The sequence below is a fragment of the Homo sapiens genome, chromosome 18 (assembly GCF_000001405.40).
Source record: "Homo sapiens chromosome 18, GRCh38.p14 Primary Assembly".
NCBI classification, from domain to species: Eukaryota; Metazoa; Chordata; class Mammalia; order Primates; family Hominidae; genus Homo; species Homo sapiens.
The window spans coordinates 51,636,193-51,657,480 of NC_000018.10; the positions used below are offsets into that span (position 1 = coordinate 51,636,193).

Sequence of the window (21,288 nt, forward strand, 5' to 3'; positions counted from 1 at the left end):
CTCGGGCCCTACCTATCTGGGAAAAAACTGTCCTAGCCATGAGAGATTAGATGAAACCTGAGACCAGAGACTCCTTTTCTTCTAAAATGCTTTTTCCAAAAGATTGTAAAAAGAAAAGGAGGGAAATGTGAAAGGAAAATAAATCTTGGGGCCTCCAACTCACTAAGCTAAAGGGAAAAGTCAAGCTGGGAACTGCTTAGGGCAAACCTTCCTCCCATTCTACTCAAAGTCACCCCCCAGCTCACTGAGATAGACACATATCTGATTGACTCTTTTGGAAAGGTTAATCAGAAACTCAAAAGAATGCAACCATTTGTCTCTCACCTACCTGTGACCTGGAAGCCCCCTCCTTGCTTCGAGTTGTCCCACCTTCTGGACAGAACCAACATACATCTTACATATATTGACTGATGTCTCATATTTCCCTAAAATGTATAAAACCAAGCTGTACCCTGACCACCTTGGGCACATGTCATCAGGACCTCCTGTGGCTGTGTCACAAGGCTGAGGATGTGCATCCTCAACCTTGGCAAAATAAACTTTCTAAATTAACTGAGACCTGTCTCATATTTGGGGCTCACGGAGTAGGCATTTATACATATTTATAAATCTTTCTCTTCTCTTTTGTTTTTTTGTAAGTCAATCCAGCTTTGAAAATGTAGGACCTCAAAGGTTAAAGTGTGATTAAAGTTAGGGAATGTAACAAACAAGAGACCCTTGATTTAAGAGAGGCCCTTAAAACAAGGTCAGCTCCCTTCAGGACTATTTGCTGGACTCTAAGAACAAAACACTGCTCAGGGTTGGAATAAACATGATTTCAAATGGGAGAACACCTCTTCAGAGAACAGCATTGTTTGCCAGTGGGAAAGATCAGATACATAGATATTCCTCCTCCTTCGGTTTCAGGTAGTTTACTCAAAAACTGATAATCTGATGACCTTTACTTTCACAACATAATAATTTATGTACCCCAATGCATACCAAGTCCATTGTCACATATGATCTTTCTAGATTTCCCTTGGCCCTGTCAATGTGGTATACTAACCCAGGTTCCCCAAACTGCCAATCACACCAATTTGTCAACATGGACTATGGTTAGAAGAAGCCCATCAGTTCTGGACTATCAGGGTCTAAATCCTGCCTGTTCCATTTCCTACCTGTTCTGTCTTGGCCAAGTTGATGTCATTTTAAAACGTGGATGGTAATAATACCAATCCATTAAATTTTTTGAGGATTAAATGACTTAATACATTACCTGGCAGATAATAAGTGCTCAACAAAATTAGCTATTGTTTATCAAAGACTGTCAGGGAATTGAGGCTTATGAGCTGAGAAACTTTTCTTTGTTCAAGAATTCCCCCTTCTGCCTTCCATAAATATTCTTGCATATCAAAGGTAATATTTGAGGTCAATTTTTAGAAGATTTTAGTCTAGCTAAACCCAAGTTCTATATAAAGTTGAGTCAATTCAGGATTCTGCTGGGTTTCAGAGCTGATTCAAAACACCATTTCCCCTTGGAAGCCTCTCCGGCTATTCCACATTGTGTGGTGAGGTCCCATTCTGGTTGCCCACTGCCCATTGGCCTAAGCTTTACATGTTGCCAGTTCATTTACATGATATTTTATATTGCTTTTTCTTCATTGCATCTGAATAAATCTTTTATTCTAGATTATTGAAGGCAATATATACTCAGATTGGTTTTTTAAAAAATAATGAACGAATTTATTTCTTTGTGTAATCCAAGGTTGGCATATAAAGGGAAGATTGTGTGGTGTGATTTTTAAAAATGTCTAAGTGTTGAAGTCAACTTGCCTGCATTTTAGGCTTGGGTCCTTTCCTTATTTGCTCTGCGATCCTGTACAGGCTCTCTAAACTCTCTGAACCTTGATTTCTTCATCAATCATATGAGAATCATTGAGAGGCATTAAGTGGTATAAAGTACATGCCGAATTGCCTGAGCCAAAGGAGGTACTATCCCTTCTCTCTGTCAGTTAGAAAACTCTAAGCTCCATCCACCCCTTTGGTCCTTAATCAATTGACAGAACGACCTAGTGATCAGTTAGTTTCTGATACCTTTTTGAACTAGCCTTGAAATTTGGTTGGATTCTTTTTTTTTTTTTTTGAGATGGAGTCTTGCTCTGTCACCAGGCTGCTGGAGTGCAGTTGCACGATCTTGGCTCACTGCAACCTCCACCTCTTGGGTTCACGCCATTCTCTTGCCTCAGCCTCATGAGTAGCTGGGGCTACAGATGGATGCCACCATGTCCAGCTAATTTTTGTATTTTTTGTAGAGATGGGGTTTCACCATGTTGACCAGGATGGTGTTGATCTCTTGGCCTTGTGATCCACCTGCCTCAGCCTCCCAAAATGCTGGGATTACAGGCATGAGCCACTGCACCCTGCCTGGTTGGATTCTTAAGATCTTCTTTTCCTTTTTTGAATTTCAACTTTTATTTCAGATTTGGTGGATACATGTGCAGGTTTGTTACACAGGTGTCTTGCATGATGCTAGGGTTTGGAATACAATTGATCCCATCACCAGGTAGTGAGCATAGTATCCAATAGATATTTTTTCAATTCTTGCCCTCCTACCTCTCTCCCAGTAGTCACCAGTGTCTACTGTTGCCACATTTATGTCCATGAGTACCCAATATTTAGTTCCCACTTCTAAGTGAGAACATGGTGTGTGTATATATATATAAAAACTCCTCATCTGTCTATCAGAAAACATCTCTGAGCAGGGGTTCTTAACCTTGGGCACACACACAGACTTCAGGCTTCTGTGAGCTCCCCAGATTAGAAGCCAAATCACATGCCTATGCATTTCTTCAGGGGAGAAGTTGACCTACAGCTTTCATTTTATGTATATACCAGAACCCTCTTTCCCACTTTCCCTCTCAGCAAAAAACAAACCAACAAACCAAAATGAAAACCTTAAGAACCATATCTCGATGCTCCAGGTCAATTTCCACCCCAGCCATCAGGGCCTAGCTTTCTATAATAGCCATCCGGATGGAGCTGTGCCTACTAGCCTATCCCTTCATGGACCAATATTCTCCCACAATCTCACCAGTTTTTATGTCAACATGTGGTTCTTCTTTGCCAGGCACAGTTGTATGTCATGGACAGGCACAGAACATGCAGACATGGCTCATCCAGCCTATCTTCGACTGTTCTTCCAGCTGACTTAGGCTCCTGCTGAGCACCTGTCTTGGAGAAACCCTGCTATGGGCCCTGTGTGGGCCCTACTAGGTGTCCAAAGATGGCAGTCCATCAGGCCTTCTCTGGTTGAAAGTTTTCTGCCAAGATTCCCATCAGGAGTTCTATTTTGCATGGGGACATCATGGAAAGTCTCCACAGGGGTCAAACCATCTTTCTTGGGGGAAGGTCTGAGCCCTTTTCACAGCTTGGTTATTCTCCCTCTGAGAAACATGGCCACACTACAGCCCCTTTGGGCACTGAGCCTAATCTACAGTAGGAGTTTCCTTCCTTCTTAGCAGGGAGCACAGTCTAAGCAAACAGGCTCCCTGGGGAATGATGGATAGAACTGTATGCTGCCCTCTACTCATAGCTCCCTTAATTCCACTTTCCCTGCCCCCTAAGCTTGTGGGATAGGAGCCACATGGACCTATAATCATTTAATTACCTTGTTTCCTAAGCTCTTCTCTTTATAGGGAAACATCAAATAACACCCCTACCCCCAACCATGCCTGATTCTTTATTTATGAAGATCCTGGTTCTCCTCTAATGTGCTTCTACACTGTCCCAGGCTTTGGAATGTTTATAAATGGCTCAGTGCATTTGCTGACAATGCCTTCATGCATGTGTTCTTCCTCTTGGCAGACCCTCTCTGACACAGCCTTTAGACCCAACTAGTTTCATGTTGCGTGGTACTTGCGGGGAGGGCAGTAGGAGACTGGTGTAGCCAAGTGACTCTATCTGATGGCTTCTGTGATCTCTAAGCTCACCCAAGTCTTTACTTCCTTAGTCCTTTTTTGTCTTTCAGTCCCATGATGAAAGCTTTCCTGGAGAAGTCCAGCTTTGATACCTGCACTGCTGACGTCTACTCTGCTGGGAAAAATGGCACACTGAGTCTGGAGATAGTGAAGTGCCTTTTGTATTCACTCCCATCCCTCTAACTGCTCTGTTCTCCTGCCCAGTTGCTTACTCAATATGAGGAGCATAGCAGCGCTAGGCTCTGGAAGAGAGTAGGCAAATATGGCAATAGAAAATGCTAACAGCAGCAGATGGCAGGACAAGTTTCCTTTAGATTCACATGAGCAGTTGTTTTTTTCTGGTGGGCTTTTATTATTAAATTTATTTTCATCATTTGGCTAGATAAGCCTATCTTTGTACTTAGTTATGGTGTGCCGGAATCATCTTGCTTTTAATATTTGAAAAAAAGAGCTGTATATCATACCAATTATAAATACAACTACATGGCCTCATGTGTAATTGTCAACTCAGTTACATGGATTGTAGCCTTTGTGTTTGGAGGGAGTGAATGCTCACTTTATCCTAAAGAGTTGATAGAAGCCTAAAAGCTTAGAAACTTACAAGAAATAATCACTTGTATGGCTTTTCTTCAGGGGCCAAAAAATATTGGAACTTTACTTGATTTCAAACATATTATCCTTATCTAAGGCCTGGAGGTCCTGGATCTAAGCCCTATTTTACAAGTATTCAAAGCTGGCACTCTTTTCTTAATGCCATCACTTCTACCCTTGCAGATTTTTAATTTTTTATTTCTAACTTTCAATAAGAGGAAGCAAAGGTCAGCAGGTTCTTTGGAAATTAAATTTAAATGATTATTACACCTTAAACCTGCCCTCCTGCCCCCCCAAGGAAGAATTCTTCACCCCCATGTTAGCAGCAGCAGCAGCAGCATCTCCATTATTGCTCATCTTCCTTCTCTGTAGCTCTTGCCATCAGTGTTGATTAATTTCATAAGTAGCAGAAATGACATAATACAATATATTTCTGACAATTCCAGACCAGGAATCCTAGACTCATAAAATTCCAAGGATACAAAGGAACACCAGGAGGTCATCTAACCCAATCCTCTGCTTTCCAGGAAAGAAGTGTTCAAACCATACAGAATGAATTTATTTTCCAGCAAAATATCCTTTGTGATGAGAGGGATAGTGAAAGAATAATGGACATAAACAGGAAGTTAAAATGAAATGACTCTTCTCTTTTCACAGGATCTCTAGTTAGTAGTAAAGGACCATGAGTGCTGGGGAAAAAGGCCATCATAGATAATTTTGTGAACCCAGTGATAATCTTTCTATTGAAGAGAGATGTGCCGTGAACCTGATTATTTTTCAAAGAACTGTCATTTTCCCAAGAGCTGGCATTTTCAGCCTCTTGAAGAGCACCAACCACTGTTATCACAGCTCAAACTTGAGCAATCAATCAGGGGTTTGAAACATTAAACTGGAATATATAATTTCAACAGGGATAATTTTAGCAAAATTCATCCTGAGCTAAAACAGCTTTAGTTAGCCCAGCTTCAACAAGGGGGCCATTGCCTGGCTTTTCTTGGCACTGGCAGCCCCTCCCTGCACTCACCCCACCTCCTCTACAGCCAGAGGAAAGGACACAGCAGGCCATGGGTTTATAATAAGATTTGGAGGGGCTGAGCTTGGCTGATTTACCAGGAGGTAGGTTGATGCCCAAGACGGTGCCCACTGGGAAGCTGCAAGTTGTGAGTAGGGGGATAACAGCTTGAGAAGTACCATTAAATGTCTTCCCATACATTTGCCCACAGTAGAATTTTTCTTCCACAGAAAACACTTTGACATTCTATTGGAATGGAAAGCAAGAGTTTATAAGCATTTTACAATGTCAGGATTTTTACTAGTCAATCTACAAATAGGTAGCATTTTGCCTCTTTGCTCTTCCCTCTCCTGCTTGCACACTATGTTCCTGAGGACTTTTCCTCTCTCTGGCAAGAGGCTACCAAAGAAGCTGGCTCAGCCCCTCCCAATACTCCAGATTCAACAGGCAGCTGTAGTCAGACTCAGTCAAACCAAAGAACTTGCTTAATTGGTGATTTCTGCTGATGTCAGTGGTGGTGGTGATAAGGATAATATTGGGAATAATGATGATGCTAGATGACAAAGGTCATGGGTTTGAAGGAAGAGTGGTGTTTTTGCTGGTTTTAAAGTTTCTACACACTTAATTACAATTTAGGATTTTCATGCTGAGTGTGAATCAGGGTTCAGTTAAACAAATCAGGATTGTTAGGTAATGACAGGAGACAATGGGTAGAAGTCATCTGAAGCACCTTGAGAGAAAGAGGGCTGAGGAAGTAAAGCAGTTTATGCAATATCCACTATGCGCCAAGCTTGCTTATTCTTGCTCTCTCCCTCTCACCACTCTGTATAGGGTTATATAGGCAAAAGGCAGTAAAAAGACACCTAAAGACATAGAGCCTTTAATGACACTATTTAGGCTGTTGATTAAATGCTCTGAAACTCACTGTGTCTTTGGGCTATTACATGAGTTAAATATCCCCTGTGTATTTTAACCCAAAGGTCATATTTTATAAATGATAAAAACTGAGATTTTTTAAGCCAGGTCTTTGACTTCGGGATGCAATCCCTTTTTATGAGAGCAAACGCTCTCCTAAGTGATTAAAATAGTTAAATTTTATGTACAATGCAATACACAGACACACACACATATATATGTAGATCACTGCATTTAATCATTTCATTATCATAATAAGTTTAGAACTGGTATCATTTTTATTTTACATACAATAAGTGTGAACAAGAGAAGTTAATTAATTTGAAATGATTGTTAGTTGCAGGGCCAAGCACTTACAAGGATTGAACACTAGTGTCAGGGTTGGTCCTTGAAAGATCCATGCCAGTCAGGACATGCCCTTCACCTTAGTGACTGATTTTGGTGACCCAGATCTAAGGCACTCATGGCATTCCCCTTGGCCTCAGAGAGTGGTTCAAGAATAGGCAAATGGTCCATTTAAGCAGGAAAAACCACAGAGAGAGGCCTGTTTGGGAGGTTCTCAGAAAGAAGCATCTCCATTTCTCTGCAATACTCAGGTGTGATATGCAGATGTGAAGCCTGAAACTAATGCAGCCATTTGATCTTATAAGATAAACCCAACTGGCAATGAAACTGACACTGCAGAAGGCAGAGAAACGAGACCTAAAGACATAGAGCCTTTAATGACACCATTTAGGCTCTTGATTAAATGCTCTGATTCTCACTGTGTCTCTGGATTTTCCATTACATGAATTAAATATCTCCTGTATAGTTTAACCCAAAGGTCATAAAACTTGTAAATGGTAAAACTGAGATTCTAAGCCATGTCTTTGACTTCAGGATCCAATCACTTTTCTATGACTGCAAATGCTCTCCTAAGCGATTAAAATAATTAAATTTTATGCACAATGCGATAGAAAATTAACTTCAGCTCCTCAGCAGGGAAGTAATCTGATCAAAACAATGGGTGAGACAGATGGCCCTGATTTGGGTGTTCAGAGTTAACTGGGGAAGGACAGGAAGGAAGGTAGAGGAATTATCTTAAAGTCATTGTTGCAGTGTTCTGGGGATTTGCTACAACAAATTCATGTGTGTCTTCAATAAGTATTTGAGCACTTACCCTGTGCTAGATACTAAGAATATAGTGTGACAAAATAGACATGCTCCCTGCTTATATGAAGTTATAGTCAGTCTGGAGCAGTGGTTGTCAAACCATGACCCTTGAGCCAAATACTGCTGCTGCTTGTTTTTGTAAATAAAATTTTATTGGAACATAGTCATGGTCATTACTTTATGTATTATCTGTGACTGCTTTGCACTACAATGTCAGAGCTGAGTAGTTGCTGCAGAGAATACATGGCACACAGGGCCTGAGATATTTATTATCTGGCCCGTTACAGAAAAGGTTTGCTTATCATTAGAGGGAGGAGACAGACATTGATCAGATTGGATCATACATTTGTAAATATTGGGTGATAGATATAATCTATCTATTATATCTAATATATCTATTATATATAATATCTAATATATATTATAAATATTGGGTGATATAAGCTATCACCCAATATTTAGATTGTTATAGATTATAGATTGTTATAGATCAGATCTGATTGTGATAACTGAAGTACCTGAGGAAGAATGAGCTGAAGGTACTAATCTGGGTGGGGGAGTTCACTTCTTGGAGGAAGTGATATGTGAGCTGGGGTAATAAACGAGTAGGAATCAGCACTGTGAATGCTAGAGGAAGAGTATTCCCTGCAGGGTGTGTGAAGCCTGGAGATGGGAAAGAGAACATTGGAATAGGTCAAGGAATCGAGAGAAGGGTGATGTGGCTTGAGCATGGTGAATATGGAGGAGTGTGTCAGGGGTGAGGCTGGGAGTAACCAGGTCAGATCACGGAGAACCTTATAGGCCATGATAGGCCATCTGTGTTTTCTCTACATGGAGTGGAAAACCATTTCACTCATGGGAAGCTCAACTTCATCATTTATCTTTAATGAAGAAGAAACTATATATATATTTTAATATTCAGTATTTTTGGTCTGTTGTCTTTCAACAGTTTTGGCTCAGTAAATAAAAATGAAATAAAAAAACTTTTTATAATATATACAGTCAGCCTTCTGTATGCATGGTTCTACATCCGCAGATGCTACTAGCGATAAATTTAAAATATTTGGGAAAAAACAATAAAAAACAATAGTACTACAATAAACATAATATGAATAAAATACAATATAATAGCGACTTACAGAGCATTTACATTGTATTAGGTATTAGGTATACAGGAAGATGTGCATAGGTTATATGCAAATACTACACCATTTTATATCAGAGACTTGAGCATCCTCAGATTTTGGTATCTTTGGAGAAGGAGGGTGGGGGATTCTGGAACCAATCCCCATCCAATATGGAGGAACAACTATAATTTTTACATCCCTATATATTTTTCAAGGATAAGGGCAACACATTATGATGGACTTCTCTATTATGGGTAGATGTAAGATAGGAAGGAATTTAGAGCATTACAGGGGATGCTAATTAAGTGATGATATAGTGGCAGTTATAGAAAACACTCTCTAGACCATGCTTATAAAAAGAGGAGTACTTCTCTTTGTTGCTGCTATGTCTAACCCAACCTCTGTTTACTCAACCAATAAAGGGAGTGTGGAAGGATGGTGTCGAGGGAGGACCCCTGACTTCTTAGAAACAGCAACCTTCTGTTCATGCTCAGAATAGATGGCATTGGCTGGTCCACCTGGCCAAAGACAGGGGAAATTTGCAGTGGGTCCAGAAGCAGCATGGTGGGACTGAGAGCATGGAGGTTGGCAGAGTCGAATCCTGTTCTCTTCTGTCTTGAGACTCTCTCCCAGGGGGCTCCATGGCTCCATCCAGAATCTGTAGGGAGATGAGCTACAAATTTCTATCTCCACCTTAGAGCTCTTTGTTTTAACCTTCTAACCTATACATCCAAATGCTGCTTGGTATGCTGTCTTGGATGTCTCAAAAGCAGCTTAAACTCAACATATCCTTAAGTCAAGTTAATAGAACAAGCTGCTACCTGCACAGGTGGACAGCTCCCCTCAGGATGAGGCACCAAGATTGACTTTCCAACTCTTCAGCACCCTCTCCTTCCCCTTTTCTCTGCCACACATCTTGCCTGTTATTGTGCTTTGACCCCCTCTATTAGCTGACTAAAAGCTTTACTGGCATAATATCCCTTATTTTCATCCTGCTTCTTTTGACTCCCTATTGTCTTCTACCTTAAGAAAAATCAAACTGCTCTGGTGTTTTTCTCAGACCACAGCTACTGCTCTCGATAGACCTGATTACTGCCAAAAATGTAATGACTGTTCCTTTAGCAAATTCACAAGGTAGATTTCCTTCTACAGGTCCATTCTGATACATAAATTTCCCTCACATTATTAATCTCAAACTTTGGTCTTATAAAAATTGAACTTTGACACCACTTCAATACAGTGTCGCTGCTGAAGTAATGAAAACCTGATTGGCAGAAACCTCCTCTTGAGGAATGGAAAGAATATTGGGGCTCTCCTTGCTACAGTGGTCTGCTTGTTCTCTTCAGTGACACAACTGCTTGCTTTTCAGAAGTTGTTGAAACTCCATTCAAAGAATCTTCCCACCTGGAGAGAGAAAAAAACAAGTCTTATTCCTGTTGTGATAAATTCCCAGAGTAGGAATAGTATAAGTAGAAAGGGTGGTCTCGAACTTATCTATGACCCTATAGGATATCATGAATGATACAACTTCTGCTCTGGAAGCCCAACTAAACAGTTTACATTTAGATTCATTAGCTAATGTTATCATGAGTAATCACGTAGGTCTTAATTTCCTCTTAGCTAGCCAAGGGGAAATTTATGCTGTAGCAAACACTTTTAGCTGCACCTAGGAAGAACAATCTATAATTAGGCTAAGAAAAAACCTCTTGGATCTCTAGAAAAGACCATTTGAAATCTGGGACATGTTTTCATTGCCTGGGTTTCATAATCTAGGTCCCTGTCTTCAGGGCCTATTACAAGAACTAATAACCATTTTTGTTTCTGTTTCTGGTAACTGCCTGTGTTGCAGTGGGCTGATGTATCTTGCCAAGAGTCATAAATGCTACTGTGCAGCCACCGTCTTGTCAGATGATAAGCAACTTGTCCTTCAACAAAGGGAACAAACCTGGTCCCATACCTGTGGGGTATAGACCACATGGCTGGTACAACCACCTAACCAGCAAAAACTCAGCAACGGTGAGACATGAACATTCTAGATGAATACCTTGCAGCTTAACCTTTTCCGCCTTTGGACAAAAGGGTGGCCTGAGAGTGAGAAAAGTAGCCCTGACGGCAAGGAACTTAACTGGTTTTATGCATTAGGCTGTCACTTTTCTAGGCACGTCCAGTTATTTACAGCTAGGCTGTGGTGTTCCCTTGCGGCACATAAACAATGTCAAAGCACGCCAACATCAGGTGAGGCCACTCAGACGGGACAAAAACAGGATCCAAAAGCATAATCGTCCTTAACACAAAAATGAGCAAACATCACCTCCTCCTGGATACACATGCCTGTTTTATCTTTACCAGTCATAATCACAACTTCAGCTTCATTCAGCCATCTGGGTAAGAATTACGAAGATACCCAATTATAGAAAGATCCCTGCTTCCCGACAGCATGCAAAGCAGAGCAAACTCCCATTTCCTTGTATCATCTCCAAATCACCTAATAGAAGCCTGAGTTCTGTAATAAGTCCCTCCTAGCAGTCTCTTTCTGAGATCTTCTATGCTTCCCCACTGTGTGCATTCATTCTCTCTTGTTGCAACAAGTCAGCATGCCTGATCTTATTCAGCTGCAGGCCTGCACTTGCTGGTCTTTGGCTGAAAGGCATCAACATTTTCTTGTACTATGTCACATCTCAGTAAATGTTACTGTCACCTCTTCCATTCTAATAAATATACAGAGATCAAGAAGTCACACTTGACATCTTCCTCTTGGCCCCATCCTCCATCAATAAAAAAGTCCTAATGTTTTTACCACATAAATAGGTCTCATAACCATTTCCTTCTCTGTCTTTAAAGCAACCTTAGTGGTCCAAGCTACATGCATCCCTCATTTTGTCTACTGTAATCATCTTTTAACTGGTCTTCCTGTAGCCCCCTTGACTTTCTTCAACCTCTTGTTTTCCACACTGCAGTCAGAGTTTTTATTTCTAATGGGAAATTTTAAAACAGTCATTCTCATGTTGAAAGTGCTTTAACACTTCCAAATGCTCTTAAAATAAAGACACAATCACTTAACATGGCTGACAAGGCCACAAGAAGTCTGGCCAGTTCTTGCTTTTTCAGCCTCATCGTATGCTATCCCCACCTCTTTCTATTCCAGCCACATTGGCCTTCTGTCATTTCCTTGAACACCATGTGCTTTTGGCTACTGTAGGGTTTTTGCACATGGCCTCTCTCTGGAAATTCACTCTTCTCCTCCTTTGGTTAATAAACTTTTCTTCACTTTCCAGATCTCAGTTCACCTGTATCTTAGGGTAGCCTCCTTTACCAACCTGAGGAAATCAGTTCATCTTGTTTACAGCTCGTTGCACCATGCATCTCTCTGTGGTAGCTCTTTTAAAATTTGTATTGGTTTGATTCTTTGAGTAATCCTTATCTCCCCCGGAAGACTCCTTGCTCTTAGTAGGTGCTTAATAAATGTTTTTGAAGTGAGTGACTAGTCTCTGTTCTGCTGCTGGGAAGCTGCATCATTTTGAACACGTTATTTAACCTTGTTATTTGTATTAGTTTGCAAGGGCTGCCATAAGAAAATAGCACAAACTGGGTGGCTTAAACACAGACATTTATTTTCTCACAGCTCTGTAAGCTAGAAGTCCAAGATTAAGGTGCCATCAGGGTTGGTTTCTGATGCAGGTTCTCTTCTAGGCTTGCAGGTGGTGCCTTCTCCCTAGGTCTTCAGATGGCCTTTTCTCTGCGCGGATCAGGGGAGACCTACAGTGTCTCTTCCTCTTCTTATAAAACACCAGTCCTACTGAATTAAGGCCTTGCCATTATGACCTCATTTAATCTTAATTACCTCCTTAAAGGCCGCATTCCAAATATGGTAAGTAACATTGAGAGTTAAAGCTTCAACATGTGAATTTGCGGTGGGGGAACACAATTCAGTCTGTGGTATCAGCCTTCAAATTCTTTGTCTGTATGAAGAATAATTATGCAGGCCTGCTCCTGGCAAGATGTTTTAATGGCAGAATTAGACAATGAATGTTAAAGCTCCTTCAGACATAAAGTGCTAACCCATGGAATGGGGTAGGAGTGCACTGTTTGACCAAGAAGGACTGTGATTAATGCCCTTTCAGTGTTGAAAACATTTATAGGTAAAAAAGCCCATGCTGGGATGGGGGTAAGGATTGTTTTAGATCAACATTAGAAACATTTTTCTCTAATAGGTAGAGTCAAGGTGTTTGATAATGAGCTAGGATTCTTGGAATTGTTAGTCCCCATGTCTGGATGGCTCTTGCAGGACATTCTATGGGCTAGGAGGCTGGACCAGGTTTCTTCTAAATTCTTTTCTCCCTTGAAGCTTTGTTCCTTGTGCTGTGTTACAGGTTGCCTTTACCTCACCAGGAATGGGCCCTGAGCTCATCTAATTTGACCATGTATATGAGAAGTCAGCAAACTACTTCTGAAAAGGACAAGGTGGTAAATAAATATTTTAGTCTTTGCAAGCTATGTGCTCTCTTTTGCAGCCACTTAACTCTGCCATTGTGGCACAAAAGCAGCTTTAGACACTACATAAACAAATAAGTGTGGCTGAGTTTCAAGAAAACCTTATCTATAGACACTGAAATCCAAATTTCATATGATTTTCATGTGTCACAACATAGTATTCTTCTTTCGATTTTTCTTTTCAACTATTTAAAAATGTAAAAATCATTCTTTCCTGGTGAGTCTGCAAATATGCAGTGCATTGGATTTGACCTAGGGCCGTAGTTTGCCAATCTTTGATGTATATCGTTAACTCTGAACCTGAAATATCATTAATTTCCTGGCTATCCTTAGACCACCAAACTACCTTGATTTTCAGGCATGGTTGGAAAAATCTAATCTTCTCTAATTTGACTTACTGGCTAGACAGAACATTTACTTTATTGTTTCCATAAGTTTCATTTTACTACTGGCTGTGAAAAAATTTCTTATCCCTTTGCCAGGTTATAGCAGCTGACGCTAGGCTCTTAAGCCAAACCTGGCCTTTTCCACATTCCCTCTGCTTCTGGCCAACCCTAATTCTGCCATATTCTTGGAGTCCCTTAGCTGCTGCCAATGCCAAGCCCCCAACCTGTAAACCAGCCTCTTCCAATAAGTATTTCCAACCTCTAGATTTTAAAAATACCCCAGTGCCACATGTAGATTCAATTACAAAGCACAGACATGCATCTAGAAGAAGAGAAGGGCAAAAATTGACTGATGTTCCACCAGCAGCCCTTAGGCCACTTGGCAAGAATGACTCCATTCAATTTAAAGATTGTGTTAAATGACAGTGTCTCATTTTCCCAAAGATCCTTAAATTAGAGGGTACGAAGGCTTCTTCAAATGCCTGACCAGACATAATTCTGCCATGGATGTTTTTAGTGCTGGCAAATCATCTAGTGATCGGGTCAAGAGATGTATGGAACCTTGATCTCTGCATTTTCTCCTGGCTATGGAATGGTTAGCTCTGTACTCAAACTGTCCTCTCCTTAATAGATATGAGACTGGTTAGGGAATGTCACAGGTGCCTAGAAATGAACACCTATGGTTCATGATATGTGCTGTGCAATGGAAAAAAATAGAATTGCTTCTAGCTGGCCAAAGGCATATAGAATATTCCGGCTCTAGAGCTTACATGTTGCAATTTTAGTCTCAGGGCTCTTCTAAAGAAAACTATCACGTTTGTTTATTGATCAATCTTTATTTATTATATCCCACGTTTAATGTTCTACAAAGCTACCAATCACGTGGCTGCACGCCCATATCCTATTTAAAAAGTGCCAATTTATGTTACCAATGTGTGTGTCCATCCCAGGTAGCACAGTTACAACAAATGCCTGGAGAATTCCTGAAGCAACTCTTTTCCAGTCATACCTCTACGACTCATTCATTCATTCAGTCTTTCGTTCATTCCATCCAGCAATAATCCTGACTTACATATTGTTTTCATTATTTTTACGCATGTTTTGGTCATTCACCCATTGCAAGAGAAGTACTAGACACTAGGGATAAAAAAGATAAACAGACATAGGCCCATGTTAAAAAAATACTCTGCATATTTAGTTGTGGGGGAGTAAGGCATTTACAAAATGTGTTATTTTAGTGTGGAAAATGGCATAGCAGAGGTATGGACTGGGAGCTTTAGGACTAGTCAGGAAAGCAATGGAAGTTTGGAGGCAGGGTAGGTTATGGAAAGCTTCAGAGGTGGCATAAGGACGGGCTATGAAGAATGAGTGGTCCACCAGGGAGAAGATGAGAAAGAACATTCTAGGCAAAGTAGGCAGCACAACCCCCTTACTATTCCCAGAACATGCTTTCTTTTCTACAACCAGGCTGAATCGTATCCTCACTTTGCCTGTAACTCTCTCATTTCATTCGGACTCTCATCTTTCTTTGTATACCTTTTCTCTCTGGGCTGGCATACAATGAGCTAGGAGTAACTAGTGGCAGACAAATGTTATATATAGGAAGGGGCTTAAAAGCCAAGCTAGCCATTTTGTCTTATAGTAATGGATAGGTTTCTAAGTAGAGACAAGTCGATGTGAGCAATATTTTAGAAGGGTTTGCATGGCCATGGCATAACATGGTTTAGAAGCTGGGTATGAAAGTCACCTAGGATGCTATGTTGGTGATGTATACATTCTGCCTCCCATAGAACTGTGCAGGCTATATTTTGAGGGAGCAACCAGCCCAAAGTGGGCGTCTGGCCCCCGGTGGAGGAAGAGTATCTGCATACCCCCACTATAGTTCTGATAATGACTGAGAACCAGGCAAGGCCTTGGAGGAGAGGCTTAACTTGCAGCTCACTCAGTCCTCCTGAGAAGAGCCTGGAATTACTTAGCAATCAGGGAAATTTGGCCAACATGGCAGATGGGCAGGAGCAACACTCCTGCTTGGCCTGAGGTTGAAAATGAGGTAGGCTGCCATCGTGCTGAGCAGGGACAGGGAAAGCAGAAGCTCACAGGAAGGATGCAGTAAAAGCTGCCAAGGTGAATGTCAAGCAGGGCTAACAGAGTTCCGGAAACCTGAGCCAGCAAGAAGTGATAAGTAGACACAAGGTTCCCTGCAGAACCCTGGCAGATAGAAGAGTGTTATCAGGAAATACCCTTTTCTCACCATGGTGGGGAAATTTGTTACTTGTCTGGTCCAGATATTTCAAAAGCTGGTTCCCTGAAGGCATAATCCAAATTAAGACATCAAGTGATGGCAACTCTGCAACACTTCTGTTGAGCAGATAAATAGGCTCCAAAATGATTTTCAGATACCTGGGAGATAGTGCAGAGAAGTGGGGGTCAGAAGACCTGGCCCTAGCTCAGCTCATCCCTCCATGTTTTTGTGACTTTGAGCAAGCCATTGAACTGGCTGGACCTCAGTTGCCTAATGTATAAAAGAGGTAGTAGAAGAGGCCAGCTAAATCATCTCTAAAATTTCTTTCATTTTGCAATTCAAAACATTGTGATTAAATGTGTGTGTTTTAAAGAAATTAGCAAATTTAAAGTGATGGGAATATCCAAATCACTGTTAGTAGGAACAAAAATTAGTACAACTCATTTGGAAAGCAATTTGGCAATCTATGTTAAGAGCCATTCTATGTTCATAGCCATTGACTCAATAATTTCTTTCCTAGAAAACTATTCCAAAAAGTTTTCTGAAATTCAGAAAGAAAACAATGTGCTTTGTATTATAATTTTTTTTTTTTTTTTGAGATGGAGTCTCGCTCTGTTGCCCATGCTGGGGTGCAGTGGTGTGATCCTGCTCACTTCAACCTCTGCCTCCCAGGTTCAAGCAATTCTTCTGCCTCAGCCTCCTGAGTAGCTGGAACTGCAGGTGTGCTGCACCATGCCCGGCTAATTTTTGTATTTTTAGTAGAGATGGGGTTTCACCATATTGGCCAGGCTGGTCTCATACTCCTGACCTGGTGATCTGCCCACCTCAGCCTCCCATAGTGCTGGGATTACAGGCATGAGCCACCACACCTGCCCTGTACTATGATTTATTTTAAGAGCAAAAATTGTCCAGCAATTGGGGGACAATGATTCATTGACATTCCAAATGGTAGATATTTTTTAGTCATTAAAAAGTAATTATCAAGGCATATTAAATGATGATTTTAAGTAGTAAATAGGGAAATTATTGAATAGGGAAATGTTTATGTTATAATATTTAGTTTTAAAAAAGCAGGATTCCAAGACTAAGATCTCAATGATTTAAAAAGGCATAAACAGACCACAGGAAAATATTAATTTTAAATGTTTGAGAGTATTGATTTAATTTTTTCTCATTGTTCTGTAATATTCTAATAAACATATTACTTTTATTATGATAAAAACTGAAATAAGTCAAGTTTGTGATTACTAGTTGGTCATATATATTAAGAAGCTGTCAGAAAAAAATAGAAATCACCACAATTATAGAACTTCATTTGTTAATATAGAATGAAATTATGTACCATGCAGCTCAGTGGTTGATGGGTTACTGGAAAGCTTCCTGTACTCATAGTCAAAAGCTCTTGATATAAGTTGTAGTTCTTACATAGCCTAGTTGTATGGTCTTGAATAAGTTAGTCCCATCTCTGAATCTTAGGAATGTTATCTGTAAAATAGAAATTAAAAAACATTTATTGAATATCTACCATGTGCTAAATATTTGTGATATGAAATAGTGATATCAATATCACTATTTATTAGCAAAATATGATTTTGCTAATATTTATTAGCAATCATATTTATTAGCAATCATATTTATTAGCAAATCATTTATTAGCAATCATATTTATTAGCAAAATATGATTCATGCTAATAAAAGATTCATCAATAAAAGACACATCAGTAGATGTCTTCACTGAGTCTTTGAACTTGAGCGATGAGTGGGTGTCAGTAATATGACACTTTAGCTAGAGGAAACAGCAAATCCATTATCAGGGACCTCCTCTTGAAATGTTTCATGCAGGGAGGTGGCCTGGCAGCACGGAATAACAGAAAGACCATGGGCATGGTGTCATTGGTCTGTGTTCAAATCCTGACTTAGTCTCTTACTAGCTGTGTGACCTTGGGGAAGTTGCTCAACCTCTCTGTGCCTCAATTTTCTTCACCTTAAAGTGGGGATTCTATTACTTATTTCTCATGAGTATTGTGTGTAGAGACAACTTTTGTAAAGTACTTGATAAAGCAGTGATCCATGTCTTCAACAATTATGTATTGAACGCCCAGTATGTGTTACATGTGGCCACAGAGGCTGAGAATAAACAATAACCAGACAACTTCCTGTGATCTTCCATTTAAAATATGTATTATTATCACTCATAATATAATACTGTTATTGGAAAGAAGTTCTCAGGATTTTCTATGCACCACATTGTCCCATCAGTTTTCATTACTGCTGTGATTTTCATATCAGATCATGGGGGAGGGAGGTAGAGATCACATGCTGATGGAAAATGGCCCACCCGGATACCCTGCTATGCCCTTCCGCCTTCCTGCCGCACTGAGCCTCACTGAGGGGAGAACAGATGTTCCACTGATTGGCTGGGGTGAGGAGGATGGGATACCGCAGTGGCCTCTGGGAAGTGGGATGCTCACAAACCCCTTCTAGCCAAGGATGGCTGTCACCCTGCCCAGAACTGGGGAGGTGGAGGAAGAAATAAGAGCCAGGCAGCAAACTCCTTCCAGAGGGCTCCTTTGAAAAGTGGGGCGGGGGAATAATTATGGCAAATGTTTGAGCAGCCACAGGAGGAGGTGAAGGGGAAGGAGGGGTTGGTGGAGGGGAGAGTCTGGTTAATTATGGAACAGATGCCCAGCAGCACCTTGGGGTGAATGCATTAAGAAGGGGGAACTGTCATCTCATTCTCCCTCTCAGATTTATTCACAGTCTCCTGCGGCACCCAGCTGGGGCTGGTTTAGTGTGGGTTTTGCCTCAGTTGGAGAGATCTGCAAGTTCAAAGCCTTCTCCTTATTTCCAAATGGGATCTCCCTCCAGCCTTCTCTCTCTTCCTTCCCCACTCCGCCTCCCCATTGTGACTCTCCGCACACCCCGCTGTGCTGCCTCTGCCTGCAGATGCTTTCATTGTTTTGCCTGTACTGGTTCAGGAAAGTGGCCTCCCGACCTTCAGGCAAATAGGAGGAGAGGGCTGAGGCTTCTAGGCATCCTCTGCCTTCCCCTGTCTCCCCTCTGCTCCTTGGCCTGGCCATGGCTGGGAGCCAAGTCCAGCCAGCAGGGTCTTCTCGCAGAGGGTGCCTGAGGGAAGGCTTCAAAGCCGAGCATGGTAGACCTGGGGCTTCTGCTTGCAGCCCAGAGATATGTAAATCAGGTAGCAGGGACACAAAGAGCAGAGGCCCATATTCTAACAGTTTGGCTTACAGTACTGTTCGCTATGCAGATACTGCATGGTTTGCACCCTGGCCACATGGTCTTGGGGCCTGAGGCAGAGAGTAGAAAACAAGGCTGGGCCTGGGTTGTCCTGGGTTCTCCTTTCCTGCCCTTCAGTGTCTTTCCCACACCTTTCCTGACTGCATTCTCTCAGGCTGCCGAATGGAGTTAAAACCTAAAAATCAAAAGAGGGAAATGACTTGTATGTCACCTGCTTTCCTCCCCTCAGCATTTTCAAATATGACTCACCTCCCCAGGGGCCCAGCTCAATCCACCTCTGCTATGAAAAATACTCCACCTCCGCAGCACCTCTCAGCCCTGTCTCAGCTTTATTTGTCCCTAAGTAAGCACTGGCTTATCTGCTAACACTTTCATCAGAAGATCCTTTCTCTCTCTGGCTAAATGGTAAATTTCTGAAAAAAACTATCCCCACTTCAGAGCCCACCCTGACACATGGTAGATATGGTGCTCTGGGCACACATCCTGCCCTATTTTGTACTTGTTCACCCTATGCGGGACGTTTATGGTTGGTCAGCAAAGTAAAAATGCCCTTAGTTATCAGGGAAGTCTATAATCTCTAGCACGAGCATAAAGAAAAAGTGGATGGGGAGATAAACAGGTGATAATTTTTCCTATATAAATAAAATGATTGAATACTGTTAGGATTCAATAAGTTTATTGATTACTGGTGGCAATCCATACAGGTCTACAGCAACCTCAGTTCTTGCCTCCTCAGAAGAAAGAATTCGACTGAGGGGAATAAAGCAGAAAAAGAGATCAAGGCAAGTTTCAGAGCAGGAGTGGAAGTTTATTAAAAAGCTTTAGAGCAGGGGATAAACAAAGTACACTCGGAAAAGACCCAATTGGGCACTTTGGAGGTCAAGTGTAGCGTTTGACCTTCTGACTTGGGGTTTTATATATTGGCATACTTCCAGGGTATAGTGTCCCTTTTCCCATGATTCTTCCCTTAGGGTGGACCGCCTGCATGTGCAATGTCCTCCTTGTGCTTGGGAGGTGAGCATGCACAGTGTGTTTGAGGAGGTGTACGCATGCTCACCTGAGGCTTTCTTCCCTTTTCCGGTGGAGTGCCCCCAGAAGGTCTTGTGCTGCCGTATCGTCTGTTAATGCGCATGCTCGAGCTCACTCGCCCAACTCCTGAAAGCTGCCGATCAACAGTTACCGGTGTTTTTTTTATCTGTATAGGGAGACTGCCTTTCTCTGACGCTGGCTGTCACCAATTATTATTTTATAGAGATAGTTAACAACCGCCTGACCAGCACCTGATGGTCACCTGACTTTCCTGGTGTGGGTATGGAGGAGCCCTTTCCTGCCCTCCTCATAGGCTGGCTAGCTACCTGCTATAACAATACTGTGAGTAATTCAAAGCAGACAACACAAATGAACTCACTGGAAATGAAGCACATAATGCATTCTTGGCTCTATCCTTGTTCTGTCATTATTCTCCTAATTTCAAGATATGGGTTATCAATGGGATTCAGAAGTGACCTTCGAAGTTACTTAGTCCAATGTCCTACCCAAAAGATAGTTTTCTGACTTAGCAAAAGCTAAGGTAAAATGCTAAAGCAGTTTGTACGCAGAAACACATAAGGAATGTGAAATTGGTGTGAGACATTTGTCATGCTGTGGAGAAAGAGCAGGGTCTGAAACAATGGGATTTGTCTGGCACCACACTCTGAGATCCATAACCTTCCATGAGAGCATTTAAAGCAGGGATTGCAAATTGGCTCCTGAAGGGTTGATACCTGCCTGCTGGGGTGTTTGGTTTGGCCTGCATATAATTTATTAATTTTTAAATATCAGTCAACATCTGTAATTCAGGAAAGTTCACCTAAAACAAATCAGAATTTGAGGTTTTTTTTTTTTTTTTTCCTTAATGGAAGATCTGGAAATAACAGTCCTGCCATTGTACTTGGAAGCAATTAGCTAAAGGAATTTCCTTTAGATCTGGGATAAGCTTTAGGTTTACCACAGTCCTCACCACTCCCTATTAACTCTTTGTCACTAATGTCAGGTGCAAGTTGCCACTTACCCTTATGCCTGTCTTAAAATTTTTTCTCCTCCCTTTCTTCCTTCGTTTCCTCCTTCTTTCCATTCCTTCCTTCTTTGAATCCTTTTTTCTTTTTTTTAAAGTAAAAAT

The 21,288-nt window shown here is 41.3% G+C and overlaps 1 long non-coding RNA gene across 2 annotated transcripts, besides 2 other annotated features; it reads right to left on the minus strand.

Moving 5' to 3' along the window:
- Positions 1-9,915: 9,915 nt before the first annotated feature.
- On the minus strand, positions 9,916-20,241 carry LOC105372120 (uncharacterized). 2 transcript variants are annotated; one of them, XR_935471.3, is made up of 4 exons: positions 20,188-20,241; positions 17,215-17,357; positions 15,882-16,030; positions 9,916-10,157 (listed from the first exon to the last, which is right to left on the minus strand). It is a non-coding gene; the product is annotated as an uncharacterized LOC105372120 (long non-coding RNA). The 2 variants fall into 2 exon arrangements; XR_935472.3 differs by lacking the exon at positions 15,882-16,030.
- Positions 18,246-19,084: an enhancer, noted in NCBI's record as "NANOG-H3K27ac-H3K4me1 hESC enhancer chr18:49180808-49181646 (GRCh37/hg19 assembly coordinates)". NCBI's record gives its function as "activates a minimal SCP1, AML or CMV promoter by ChIP-STARR-seq in naive H9 embryonic stem cells {active_cell/tissue: H9 hESC(naive)}" and the evidence as "EXISTENCE:reporter gene assay evidence [ECO:0000049][PMID:30033119]".
- Positions 18,850-19,029: an enhancer, noted in NCBI's record as "active region_13334". NCBI's record gives its function as "activates an Ori minimal core promoter by ATAC-STARR-seq in GM12878 lymphoblastoid cells {active_cell/tissue: GM12878}" and the evidence as "EXISTENCE:reporter gene assay evidence [ECO:0000049][PMID:35858748]".
- Positions 20,242-21,288: the final 1,047 nt, after the last annotated feature.